The sequence below is a fragment of the Homo sapiens genome, chromosome 1, assembly GCF_000001405.40.
Source record: "Homo sapiens chromosome 1, GRCh38.p14 Primary Assembly".
Classification (NCBI taxonomy): Eukaryota; Metazoa; Chordata; class Mammalia; order Primates; family Hominidae; genus Homo; species Homo sapiens.
In genome coordinates, this window is record NC_000001.11 from 109510287 (window position 1) to 109525063 (window position 14777).

At 44.7% G+C, this 14777-nt stretch overlaps 1 long non-coding RNA gene across 1 annotated transcript; it reads right to left on the reverse strand.

Annotated features, from left to right (window-relative positions):
- Positions 1-315: 315 nt before the first annotated feature.
- LOC105378893 (uncharacterized) lies at positions 316-12165 on the reverse strand. The gene is made up of 3 exons (XR_001738179.2): positions 12038-12165; positions 4627-4778; positions 316-355 (listed from the first exon to the last, which is right to left on the reverse strand). It is a non-coding gene; the product is annotated as an uncharacterized LOC105378893 (long non-coding RNA).
- Between the last annotated feature and the right edge of the window lie 2612 nt (positions 12166-14777).

Below are 14777 nucleotides of genomic sequence, written 5' to 3' on the forward strand. Positions count from 1 at the left end.
AGGGGAAAGGGGGTGTTTGGTGAGCCCAGGCCCCAGAACACCCCTTTACAGACACCTCATGCACCTCTCCCCACTCCACCTGCTACACACACACACACACACACACACACACACACACACACACACACGGACTGCATACAAGCCAGGGACAATTTCCATTCCTGGAAACTCCGAAACCCTTCCCAGCCCGGAGGAAGTCATTCAGCCCTTAGGTCTGGCCACTTGCCTTCTTCCTAAACCAGTGCCAGCTCCCCACTCCCCTTATGGAGCAATTGCAACATAGTTTCTCTGTTACCTAATCCTCAAGATGAAGGCCAGTGGTGGAGGTGGAGGGGTTTCTTCTTTAGGGTGGCCCCTGAAACAACAAGAAGCTGTTACTAGTGTATGTTGTTTGGGTTTGGGGGTGAGGAAAGAGAGAGATGCAGGAAGAGCCTAGACCTTATCATTCAAGATGTTAGCTGTTCTTGAGATGGTGGACCATAAGAAATTACCTTTTTATTTGTTCCAGTCTCTTATAACAGCAAGATCAAGACTGAAATTAATGTCTCAGTAGATTAGCTTGCTAAGAGTTTTAAAAAGAATTTATATCTGTCACATGTTTTACCATGAATTTTAGTGAATATATTATCTCTTCAAGGAGTATTAGCGTGTTAATCTTATGCATAGTGTGAAAAGGTCTTTCTGCAAGGTGCAGTGGCTCACACCTGTAATCCCAGCACTTTGGGAGGCTGCGGCAGGAGGATTGCTTGAACCCAGGAGTTCGAGAGCAGCCTGGGCAACATGGTGAGACTCTGTCTCTTAAAAAAAAAAAAGGCATGGTGGCACGCACCTGTGGTGCCCACTACTTGAGAGGCTGAGGTCGGAGGATCACTTGAGCCCTGGAGGTCAAGGCTGCAGTGAGCCATGTTTGTGTCACTGCATTCCAGCCTGGGTGACAGAGCAAGATCCTGTCTCAAAAAAAAAAAAAAAAAAGAAAGAAAGAAAGAAAGAAAGAAAGAAAGAAAGAAAGAAAGAAAGAAAGAAAAAAGAGAAAGATGTTCTGTTCTGTTCATTTCAGGCATCATTGAAAAGATGAGGAGGGTAATCTTTTTGGAGGACAAGGTGTGAAGAATCTTGAAATCACATTGCATCAGTTATCTATTGCTGCATAATCACATTACCCCAAAACTTAGTGACTTCCTACAGCAATATACATTTATTGCCTTTCACAGTGTCTGTTGGTCAGATTCAAGAGCAGTCTGGTGGACAGTTCTGGCTTGGCAGTTTCTCATGCAGTTATGCGTTAGATGGAGCTACAGTCATTAGAAGGCTTCACTGGGGCCATAGAGGCTCACTTAAATTCATGTGGCTGGCTGTTGGCAGGAAACCTCTATTCTTATCCATAAAGGTCTCTCCACAAGACAGCTTGAGTTTCCTCACAACACGGTAGCTGACTTCCCTCAGAGCAAGAGATGCAAGAGACAGCAAGACAGAAGTCACAGTGATCTGGCTCTTTGAAGTGATGGATATCACCTCCACTTTGGTCACATATGCAATTCCTGATTCAATATGGAAGAACTACACAAGGGCACAAATACCAGGAAGAGAGGATCATTGGGACCATCTTGGAGGCTGGCTATCACACACATCATCTCTGAAGTTACATCTATTTTTTAATTTTGAGAATTTTCAAACATACACAAAAGTGAATAGTACAATGAACTCCCATATACCCATCACCCATTTCAATAATTATTAAAGAAATGTCATCATTTTATTTTGTACAAATATTCCTGAGAAACATATGCTCCTCTCACCCCACCCCTCATCTGCATGTTGCATATTTTCTTTTCACCCCAGTGTTGTTCCAGGCTCTCTCCTCTCCCTTTCCTCTTTATTTTTATTTTTTAGACAGAGTTTCGCTGTTGTCACCCAGGCTGCAGTGCCGTGGCATGATCTTGGCTCACTGCAACCTCCGCCTCCTGGGTTCAAGTGGTTCTCCTGCCTCAGCCTCCCAAGTAGCTGGGATTACGGATGCCTGCTACCATGCCCAGCTAATTTTTATATTTTTAGTAATGACAGGGTTTCACCATGTTGGCCAGGCTGGTCTCGAACTCCTGACCTCAGGTAATCTGCCTGCCTCGGCCTCCCAAAGTGCTGGAATTACAGGTGTAAGCCACCATGCCCGGCCTCCCTTTCCTCTTTCTGCTGTGTCCAAGGCGTGGGAGAGAGACAGATAGAAAGAAAAAGGCCCCTTATGATGGATACCAGTTTCAAGAGTGGGTGTCTACAATTTGGAAGGGTCACCACACGATATGTTCTTTAATCAGTCTCTTTTTTCAGCTAATCCATATCCTTTTAAAAGTAATCATTTTGGCTGGGTGCGGTGGCTCACCCCTGTAATTCCAGCCCTTTGGGAGGCTGAGGCAGGCAAATCACATGAAGCAGGAGTTCGAGACCAGCCTGGCCAACATGGCAAAACTCCATCTCTACTAAAAATACAAAAATTAGCTGGGCGTGGTGGTACATGCCTGTAATCCCAGCTACTCGGGTAGCTGAGGCATGAGAATCACTTGAACCTGGGAGGTGGAAGTTGCCGTGAGCTGAGATCATGCCACTGTGCTCCAGCCTGGGTGACAGAGACTCTGTCTCAGAATAAATAAATAAATAAAAATATAAACTAACCATATCCTTTTAAAATGTTAATGTGCAGACAAATCAGCGGGGTATCTTATAATCATGGAGATTCTGAATCACCAGGACTGGGGTGTGGCCTGAGATTCTGCTTTTCCAGCAAACTAACAAGATGATGCCAATGCTTCTTTGAGACCACATTTTAAGTAGCAAGGATCTAGAGTTGTGCTGCCTAATTGGTAGCCAGCAGCATTTGTGGCTACTTAAATTAATTAAAATTAAATATAAATCACTTCTTCAGTTTCCTTAGCCACATTTCAAATGTTTATGGCCATATGTGGCCAGCTACCCTGTTGAACAACGCATTGTCACAGAAAGTTTCATGATGGCACTGGTTTAGATAATTGACTCATAATAACTTTCCCACAGGTGCTCTTTAGACCGGAACAACTATTAATTCACAACAAAAGAAGATCTGGGCAAGATAAATAGCAACAGGTTATTTAGTGAGTATGTATTTCCATTTGCTGGAATGGACCAACTCAATATTCCTAAATGCAATTTGAGAGGTTGTTTGGTTAGCTCAGCACTTGAGCAAAAGCAGCTGGATGTGTCTCCCAGTTTATGAGACTGGATGAATTCCTTTTCTCCACACTACAAGTATTTTTTGCTTTCTTAATAGCTAATACTAGCCATCAGAATCAGAGTGGAGAAGGCTGGTAGCAGTGGCTTATGCCTGTGATCCCAGCACTTTAGCAGGTCAAGGCAGGTGGATCATTTAAGCTCAGGAGTTCAAGACCAGCCTGGGCAACATGGAGAAACCCTGTCTCTACTTAAAATACAAAAATTAACCAGGCATGGTGGCATGCTTCTGTAGTCCCAGCTACTTGGGAGGCTGAAGTGGGAAGATGGCTTGAGCCCAGGAGGCAGAGGTTGCAGTGAGCCAAGATCATGCCACTGCACTCCAGCCTGGACAACAGAGCCAGACCCTGTATCAAAAAAAAAAAAAAAAAAAAAAAAAAAAAGAAAAGAAAAGAAAAAAGACTTAGAGCGGAGAATGCCGAGGGAAGACACCCTATTAAGAAGCTATCTTCTGGCCGGGTACAGTGGCTCACGCCTGTAATCCCAGCACTTTGGGAGGCCAAGGAGGGCAGATCTTTAGGCCAGGAGTTCGAAACCAGCCTGGCCAACATGACGAAACCCCGTCTCCACTAAAAATACAAAAATTAGCCTGGTGTGATGACACACCTGTAATCCCAGCTACCCAGGAGGCTGAGGCATGAGAATTGCTTGAACCTGGGAGGCAGAGGTTTCAGTGAGCCGAAATCATGCCACTACACTCCAGCCTGGGCAACAGAGCAAGACTCTGTCTCCAAAAAAAATTTAAAAATTTAAATATTTTAAGTATTCTTGTATTTTGTGGAGATCCCAATAGTATTACTCATATTAGCAACTTTGTATTTTTTTGGATGTCTCCAAAAAGGGGGGGCCTCTAAAAATTAGGCTATTTGGGGGTGGGTAGCAATAAAGATGAGTCTTTTGTTATGAATTGCTTAAATGGCTAATATTTTAGCCCTCACCACTAGGTTGAGCCCTTTTTTTTTTTTTTTTAGACAAAGTTTTGCTCTGTCTCCAGGCTGGAGTGCAGTGGTGCGATCTCGGCTCACTGCAACCTCCGCCTCCTGGGTTCAAGTGATTCCCCTGCCTCAGCCTCCCGAGTAGCTGGGACTACAGGCACAGGCCACCACGCCCATCTAATTTTTTGTATTTTTAGTACAGATGGAGTTTCACCATGCTGGCCAGTGTTGTCTTGATCTCTTGACCTCCTGGACCTCCCAAAGTGTTGGGATTACAGGCGTGAGCCACCGCGCCTGGCTGGATTGAGCCCTTTCTGTATCTAGCAGTTCACTCACGGTTCCATGTTCGGTTTGTTCCTGAAAGTGCTCACTCTTGAGAACTCCTTTTGCCATCCTCCTGCCCCCACCTCCATAAACCATCAATCATTTCACTGACCTTTTAACCTTTTAAAATGCTCACACATTGATTTACTCAATGTCCAGGAGGCAAATACTCCCTCTGTTTAGACAACCGGCATCGGAGTCCCTTTTTCCAGTCTTTTCTCTTTCCACCTCAACTCTGCACACTTCCTGGAAGCTCCACTTGATCTGCAGAAACCACAAGAATGTACATACCAATTAGGGGCAGCTGAGGGCTCACTGATGTAGGTGGAGGCATGCCATGGACACCTATCCATGTCCCGGGCTCTTCAGGTTTGTCAAACAAATCTGAAGACATCTGCTTAATCTATAGCTCATGCACTACAGTCAGGACTAACCTGCCACCAAAGTGGTGATCATTCTAGATGGCTAAGTCATGAACATTTTCTTGACTTTTAACACTTACATATGGATATCTCAAAACAACTCTGCACTGGGTCATCATCAGATAGATGTGTCTTTGAAGTATGGCTGAACAATAAATTCATGGTTCAAAATGTTATTTTAGCCCTTAGGGATGGAGTTCACCACCACAGTCCACCTACAGCTGACCCAATATCCCAAAGATGGAAGACTATAGTTCCAAGGCCTTGTTACAAATAAGACTACCTTGGAGCTCCTGCCATGGGGGCCTGGATAACCAGGAAGTCCTCCAAAAGGAATCTTATATTTTTTTCATTAAGAAGTTTTGTCATAAGTGTGAAAATATTTTCTTTTCCTGTACATGCAATCCTCTCTTTTGATTTCTAAAGGCTTTATATCTAAAATTAAATCCTAGCTAATGTTGAGACTTCTAAGCTAATTTTCATATATGAATTTTTTTTTTTTTTTTTTGAGACAAAGTCTCACTCTGTCACCCAGGTTGGAGTGCAGTGTTGTGATCACAGCTCACTGCAGCTTTGACCTCCTGGGCTCAGGTGATCTTCCCACCCCCACCTCCCAAAGAATTGGGACTACAGGTATGTGTCACCATGCCCAGCTAATTTTTTAATTTTTTTGTAGAGACAAGGTTTTGCCATGTTGGCCAGGCTGGTCTCAAACTCCTGGGCTCAAATGATCCACCCGCCTCAGCCTCCCAAAGTGCTGGAATTACAGGCATAAGCCACTGCGCCAGGCCCATATATAAATTGTTGACTAGTTTGTCTTATATTTGGAAAGTTAATATTCTAGTTTAGGAAGTCAGCACTTTTATGATTTAGGGAAGGATTATAGTTAGATTCAATGTTTAGCTTATAGTTAAAAGTTTCTTTCCGTGATCTGCAGCCATTTGATTACTATTTGAGTTTACGGATCTGTCTCCTCTAATCATGCTTTCTGAGCCCATAGCTACTCATTTGTCTTTGAAGTTTCTACTCTTCAACCACTTAAGAGTATTCTTAGCAAATTCTCAGAGTAATCACAGTACTAGCTCATCTAGCCCTTACCTATAATGAGAGAACTTTAGACTACCCGCCTGTGCTGGAAGAGGCCATAGCAGTCAAGTTCACAAGCTGGTTCATGGCAGAACTGAGTTAGAAGCCTAGAGAAAGAGTGTAGCTTTGTGGTTAAGGGAGTAGGCTCTGGAGCTAGGCTCCTTGGGATCCTATCCTGGCTCTGCCACCCACTGTGTGACTTGAGCTAGTTACTTAACCTATAAAATGGGGATAATAAGAATACTTGCCTAATGGGGTTGTTGTGAGGATTTACTGAGTTCAGGAATCTAGGAGATACTAGAACACCAAGTAGGCTCTCTATAAATGTGAAGAGGTAGGAGTGGGCTGTCTCCTGCATCCTTGGTCAAGGTTCTTTTCAATGCATCATAACATTTTCAGGGATAGTGCAAGGCAGATAGAACTGAGGAAAAGTTCTATCTGTAGTCTGTGCTGTCCAGAGCCTGCCTTCTGGGGCTCCAGGCCAAGGTTACAGGAGAGCTAAGTACTAAGTGTTGATGAATGGGAATCTAGGATGAGGAAGTCATTGGGAAGCCACAGTAGGGGCTGAAGGAGTGAAGAGGACCCAGGATCAGTAACAGAGCAGTCAGTTCCTGCGAGGGCACACGCCAGACCAGCAGGAAGGGCAAGGTCTGACTCCCCAGAGCAGGCAGCAGTTCCTTAAAAATCACAGGCAAAGGTGCTCCGGCTGTACTTAGTTTGAGTCAGACCATAGCCGGAGTCTAAAGTTCAGCTCTGGGCATCTCATTTACAGTCTGGAGCACAGCCAGAGGTAGTTGATGGAGTGGTACACAGTCTAATAATCATTCATATGCATTCACTCACACACATCTGTTGAGCCCCTAGGGCAGAGCACTGTGTTACATGCCTGTGGTGAGGCTGGGTGAAGCAGGATGCAAATACGCTTTAGAAATAGTTTCTTCTCTCTAGGACTTAGAAGGTAAGATATGTGGATTCTACACAATTTAGCAAATATCTGTCAGTTGCTCATTATGTTAAGGACTCTATGTAGGGTATGTACTTCGTGGCCAATAGAAAGAGAATTGGACTAAGTGCCAAGAAAGCTGGATTCCAGTCTTACCCCGTGTATTAGGCCATTCTTCCCTTGCTATAAAGAAATATCGGAGACTGGATAATTTGTAAAGAAAATGTCCAATTGGCTCACCATTCTGCAGGCTGTACAGGAAGCACAGCAGCATCTGCTTCCGGGAAGGCCTCAGGGAGCGTTTACTCATGGAGCAGGCACTTCCCATGGTGAAAGCAGGGGCAAGGGGCTGGGGGAGGTGCCACACACTTTTAAATGACCAGATCTCATGAGAAGTCATTATCACAAAGATAGCACCAAGCCATGCAGGATCTGCCCCAGTGATCCAACCTCTAGCATTGAGGATTACAATTCAACATGAGATTTGGGTGGGGACAAATATCCAAACTATGTGACTCCTGTCATCATCTGGCTGTGTAACTGTGGACGAGTTACAGTGGGGCTCAGTTTTCTCACATATAAAATGGAAGTTATAATACCTGCACTATTAAAAGTACAAATTCTAGAGCTCCTGAGCAACCGAATCAGAATCTTCATGGGAGGAGCCTGGGAAGTGTTTTGAGCATCAGGACACTTGGGAAACACCACCCCTCAGGGCCATGTTCTCCATGTTTAGGCCTCAAACTGTGTACATCAGAATCTCCAAGGAACTTCAAAAGAGGATTTCAAGGCCCACCCCAGACTTTCCTAGAACTCTGGAGATGGTGCCTGAGAATCTGTATTTAAGGTGACTCTTTTTTTTTTTTTTTTTTTTTTAGACGGAGTCTTGCTCTGTCGCCCAGGCTGGAGTGCAGTGGTGTGGCGGGATCTTGGCTCACTGCAAGCTCTGCCTCCCGGGTTCCACTATTCTGCCTCAGCCTCCCAAGTAGCTGGGACCGCAGGCACCCGCCACCACCCCAGCTAATTTTTTGTATTTTTAGTAGAGACGGGGTTTCACCATGTTAGCCAGGATAGTCTCGATCTCCTCACCTCGTGATCCACCCTCCTCAGCCTCCCAAAGTGCTGGATTACAGGCGTGAGCCACCATGCCCAGCCTAAGGTGATTCTTTATACCGCCAACTTTAAGCACCACTATTACAGAATTTTGGTGAGGATTAAATGAGAACAGATGTGAACACTTTGATAGCTCATATATGAGAGATGACCGAGCAATGGGAGATTTTTACTTTGGGAGGAATTTATCATAACCATTTCTGAAAGTTGAAGCATTGTGCATTAGTCAGAATCTTTGGAACTGCAAAGAAGAATGATACCTAACAGGCTTTAGGAAGAAAGGTTTACTGCAGGACTCCACATGGTAGCTGGTGAGTTGCCTTATTAGCTGTAGTCACTGTGGTCCCAGTGCTTCCAAGACTTGGAGAACTGAACTCGTGTTTTGAAATGGCAGAAAGAGGCCCATAACCAAAAGTCATCCACCTTCTTTCATTTCCATCAGGGAGTTTACTTCCTCAAAAAACAGGCTTTGAATGAGTCAAATTGCCACCACCTAATATTGAGCACTCTTTTGGGGGCAGAATTCTTATCAAGGCCTTTCCTTTGGCCTCCTGTGTCCCCCACCCATACAAGGTTAATTTCAGTATGTGGACTAATCCCCATTCCATCATCTGTGGTAAGAGTAGCAGTTAGTTTTGTTCAAGATACATAACACCTTGGGGATCTGCTTTCTTCAGAAAAGTAAGCAGGAAATATATTAAAAAGAAAGCATTTTGAGGCCTGTTTATCTAGTATAGATTTTCATGAAAAGAGAGAATAAACAAACCATGGTTCTGAAATTTGGTAATACACGTCTCTTTGTGAAACCCATGGATTCCCCACCCGAAGCACATGGGCAAGGCACACACAATTTTATGCACATTTCTTGGGGGCATGGACTTTATAAAGCCTATCCATGGACACCTAGGTTGAGAATCTGTGCTCTTCTGGGCCTTTAAAGGGCAGAAGTATACTACTGGGTGGAAGGGTCAGAGACACAGATTTCCTTTGCATGTACAGAAACATCTTCTGACATTTCAATTGTCCAATAATGAATCTTTCCCATCTTGAGGTAGTGAACTCCCATCACAGGAAGCACCCAAGTAGGAGCTGGATGACGACTTTGCACAGATGTCCATTCATTTATTTATTATTACTATTGTTATTTTTGAGACAGAGTCTCACTCTATCACCCAGTCTGGAGTGCAGTTTCCTATGTGTCTATCTTTGGGGTTTTGTTTGTTTGTTTGAGACAGTCTCACTCTGTTGCCGAGGCTGGAGTGCAGTGGCGCAATCTCAGCTCACTGCAACCTCCACCTCCTGGGTTCAGGCGATTCTCATGCCTCAGCCTCCTGAGTAGCTGGGATTACAGGCACATGCCACCATGCCCAGCTAATTTTTGTATTTTTAGTAGAGATGGGGTTTCCCCATGTTGGCCAGGCTGGTCTGGAACTCCTGGCCTCAGGTAATCCACCTGCCTCAGCTTCCCAAAGCGCTGGGATTACAGGCGTGAGCCACTGCGCCCAGCCTTTCTGTTTATCTTTATGTTCCACTTTTCTACTATACACTCACAGGAGTTATTGCTATATGTGAATGGGAGTGTGTGATAGAATGAATGAACAAATAGGCCAGGCATGGTGGCTCACGCCTGTAATCCCAGCACTTTGGGAGGCCAAGGCAGGTGGATCACTTGAGTCCAGGAGTTGGAGACCAGCCTGGCCAACATGGCAAAACCCTGCCTCTACTAAAAAAAAAAAAAAAAAAAAAAAATAGCCGGGTGTGGTGGCCCACACCTGTAGTACCAGCTAACTGGGAGACTGAGGTACAAGAATCGCTTGAACCCAGGAGGTGGAGGTTACAGTAAGCTGAGATTGCGCCACTGCACTCCAGCCTGGGCAACAAAGCAAGACTCTGTTTCAAACAAACAAAACCCCCAAAGATGGACACATAGGAAACTGTTTCTGTCCTTAAGTGCCGTGATATAGTGAAGGAAACCAAGACACAGATGGCCACAATGAATGGTGACAGGTAATATAAGAGCCCATGTGTAAAGAGCTTAGGAAGACAGAGAAGGGAGCAAGCTTGTGGAGGAGTCCTGCATAGGGCCAGAAGTTGACCAGATGACCACTTCCAACTCTAGTACCACATGCAGCAGTGGGGCCAAGGGGTAGCTGGGGGCATGAGGTGGGCTTTAGCCATGCCACTCCAAACAGATGCATAATCTATGTTTTTTAAAAAATGTACTTGATACACAAATACAGCTTCAGGAGGAGTCTTCCAGCTCCCCCTACCTCCTCCTGCCTTCTGCCTTTCAACCACATGGCAGCTTCTTAGACTGTCCTATATGGGCATTCTAGAAGTGCTACTGATCTAATTTTTTGTTTTGTTTGGTTTTTAGATACAGGGTCTCACTATGTTGCCCAGACCAGACTCACTCAAACTCCTAGGCTCAAGTGATCGTCCCGCTTCAATCTCCTGAGTCTGGGACTATGTAGGCATGCTCTACTACACCAGGTCTATATTTCATGAAGTTATCAAATAATTGGCCCGAGGCCTTCCTAGACATTGTTATTTGAATGGAGCACCATCAGTCTACTGTTTGGGCTGGAAAACCAGGGACTGCTGGTGAGAAGTTGCTGGTGAAGATTAGGAAGGGGGCAGGCGGGAGTGCAGTTGCACATGGAGTGGCTGTCCCAAACTTGGAGTCATCTCCCCATGATTGTTCTAACACCTTTGAGGGTTGAAAGCATTTCCTTCCCTGCAGGTTTTCCTCATTTTCTTTGCCTGCTTCCACAGACAGCACACCCGCCCTTTCTCCCTCCCACCAAGGTCACACTCAGCAGGCTTTGATAAATGTCATCTTTTTTTGAAAGTCGCCTTGGAAAAAGGCAATTTGACTGCAGTGAGGCAGAACAGGGAGGTGAACGCCAGCCGCCCTTTATTGACCACAGCCCAACCCCAAGAACAAAATGAAGAGGAGTGCAGTGCTGCCCTGGGCCCCTGGTGATCCCAGGACCGCCTCTCCCAAGGGCTCTATGCACGGTAGAGAAGCCTACAGCACTGCATCTTGGGGTCTAGGTCTCCTCCTCCCTTTCTGTCCCTCTTCCCAGCCCTTTGTCTTCTGCGGGTAACTAAAGATCCCTGAGAACCTCCATGGCTCTGGGGGCAGGAGCCCTCTCCACTGTGCAAGCAGTGGGCTGCTGATTAGCGCAGGGAATAAATAACAGCAAACTAATTATCTCCCTGATTGCGGCTTGCCTCGCTAACACGGCTGGGCTGGGGTGGTGATGCGGCAGTTGAAACTATTCCAAGCATGCTTCTGGGTTCAGGGAAATTTCCATGTGTTTCCAGCCTGGAGACACTTTCCCTTCCCAGATGCTCTGGAGTTCTAAGTGGAGATGTTCCCACTCCTGCTTCACTTTGGAATTGAGAGACTCACCCCAGACAGAATGTTTGTGTCTGTCCCTAGTGGGTGACGGGAGCTGGCTTCTCAGAGAAGCAGGGGAAGGCTTTCAGGGAGGACAGGGGTTGGCCAAGGGCATGGAGAGATGAATCCTCAGGGACCACATACTCCAGCACTTAGCTTCCTAATTACATCTGCTACTCCAACTCCTTGAACTGAGTGCTTCCTATCAGGCCTTCAAGCAAGAGTAGAAAATACAAAGAGCATTGGAGAGCACTGGTCCGGGACTTTAGTCCTACCGTGACTGCCTCTGTGACTTTGGACATAGTCCTTAATCACTCAGGCCCTTCATTCCCTCTTTATGAAATGAGAGAGTTAGGCATCATGACCTCGGAGCTTTGCCCAGCTCTAGAAAAAGCTCTAGAGTCAGCTTTGTGACTCTAGCTCTGAAACTGGACTGCAGTGTTCTCTTGGAGTCCCAGGCTTGGAAAGCGCCCGACACCTCTTGTGGCCACATCTTCAGGTTTTCCTTTCCCCCATATTATTGCATTGTTTCCCATCTTCCCTCGCACTTTACCTGACTTCTCTACTCTCTTGGTCTTGAAAACTTGTCGTGCCTGGAGGGAGAAGGGTGAAGGACATCCTCTTCAGGAAGATGTTAGTTTCCAGCAGCCTGGGACGTGCTAAATTGCTGAACAAGTAGTTATTAGCCTGTGAAAAGACAAGATGTGGGGGTGTCTTTTCCCGGGAGTGGTAACTGTTGCTAGTCTACTGAGTATAGAGGAAGAATCTACTTGCCTCCTAGGCATTTTGGCCCATCCCCAGACTATGGGCCCTGCCACCACCTGCACGTCAATTGCAGAGTCCACTTGTAGGAAATTGAAGGGCTGTCTTCGTTTGCTGGTGAGACTCATCTCTATAGGCTTGGTAAGCTGTCTTCTGCTGGAGGTCAGATGTTAGACAAACCAGGTATTTTCATCTGATAAAGATAAATCCATGAAAAAGCAAACCTAGGTCACAGGTCCCTTAGGAAAGGGAAAGGGAGAAAAGATAGGGCTAATGTTATACTTGGGCTAAAGAGGAAAATATTGCTTGTGGAAAGATAGGGTAACAGCCTCCCAAAGTACTAAGTTCATGCTACCTGGTCTGATCGGATGGGAAGAGATCTCATGTAAGAATCAGAAGGTCACATTCAACATTATGCTTTGTAACTTCTAAAGGGTAAACTTGGACAATTCATTTACTTTTTGCATTGGTTAGGGTGAGCTGACTTATGTGATGAATAACCCCCAGGTCTCTGACTTACCTCAATGGAAGTTAACGTCTCCCTCGCATAACAGTTTAATGCAGGTGTTCACTTGATGGCCTCCCACCGGATGATTCCGAGACCCAGAACGATCCACCTTGTGGCTCTGATCACTGTTACAGGTTTTGGAATCCTCTATTGGAGGATTCTGTATTCCCTGTTTCCAGTCAGCAGACGGGGTAGAGACAGGAAGCATGCAGGATTGTGTGGAAGGTTTTATGGACCAGCTCTAGAAGTGGCATTAATCATTTCTGCCATATTCCACTGGCCAGAACTCTGTCATATGACCACACCTGACTACAAGGGAGGCTAGGAAATGTAGTCAGGCTATGCACCTAGGAGGTAAAAGGAAACGGTTTCATAAAAAACCAATCAATCAGTCTGTGACACATATTATTTGAAGTTTCTGTTCCTAAACTTATCCATTGGGCAAAGGGCCTCTACTTCATCATCTAAATTAGCGTGAATATAAGTTAGGAAAACAGATTTTGAGAGAGCTTAAAAAATTTATAATGTATATATATACATATATATATATACACACATACACATGCACATAATGTGTTTCTCAGATTAATCTAGAATTAACTTCATAAATACTGTCTCTCTTACTCTATTAGAAACACTATATGCTCTATTATTGAAACAAACATATTTGGGTTATAAGACGAGCGTCTCTAAATGACAGTTGGAGTTCAATTCAGTGTGTGAATAAATACTCTGCAATAAATTAAATCCTTAAAAATTATATAATGTGTCCTTTCTCTCCCCTTTCCTTTGATCTGGATTAAGGATTCAGCCAGCACAGATGGTGTGGTCAGTGTGGCTGGAGCCAAGATTTGGCTGGTTCAACCAGCATGTGTGGTGAGTTTGAGGCAGAGAGGGTGGCCTGTGTGGTTAGGAGATTGATTACAAACAGAGGAACTGAGCACACACATAGTAGGTTAAGGATGATGGGAGCTATATTTCTCATAGTTAGTGACAGGAGTTATGTATGTGGAAAGAGAATAAACCCTGTGGTATTCAATCAGAATTGGGGTAATTAATTTGAACTCATGATTTTAATATATGTAAATGTGTGTGTGTACATATCTAACCTAGTCCCATGTATACAAATGAGGGAACTCATTTATGTGCCCTCTCTGAACGATACTAGAAGCAATGATGCCCCAACGGCAGCGAGCACACCAAGCACCCAGATTTTGGCTTCTAAATGCTATTTTCTACTTAGAAAACAAACAAACAAAACAAACAAACAAAAAAAAACCTCCACCAGGACTGATCAGCCTAGAAATTACTAGATGAGCTGGGAATATCTTGTGCTAGAAAGTGAGGAAGTGCTCAGATAATGACAGAAACACATGGAAAGGATGGGGAATCCAACTTGAAGGGGCATGCACAGGCCAAATCTGAGACAATTTAGGCATCAAAATAAATAATTTTGATATCGGGTTACAACTAAAATACGGTAAAATAGGAATGAATGAATAAATAAATAAATAAATGGGGAGAGAGAGCAGGCTTTACCTTATGTTAGAATGCCAATTGATGTATATAGAAAAAAAGCTGCATTTAGAAAATTGCCATCTAGTAACCATCACAGTAATAAACAGTGTAGGAGAGGCTGGGCATGGTGGCTCATGCCTGTAATCCCAGCACTTTGGGAGGCTGATGTGAGTGGATCTCGAGGTCAGGAGTTCAAGACCAGCCTGGCCAACATGGTGAAACTCCATCTCTACTAAAAATACAAAAATTAGCTGAGTGTTGTGGCGGGTGCCTGTAATCCCAGTTAGTCGGGAGGCTGAGGCAGGAGAATCATTTGAACCTGGGAGGCGGAGTTTGCAGTGAGCTGAGATCGTGCCATTGCACTCCAGCCTGTGCAACAAGAGCGAAACTCTATCTCAAAAAAATAAATAAATAAATAAATAAATAATAAATGATGTAGGCAAGAGTCATCAGTGGATGTTATAACTAGGGGGTGAAAGTCTGATGAGGAACATGATTTTTACAC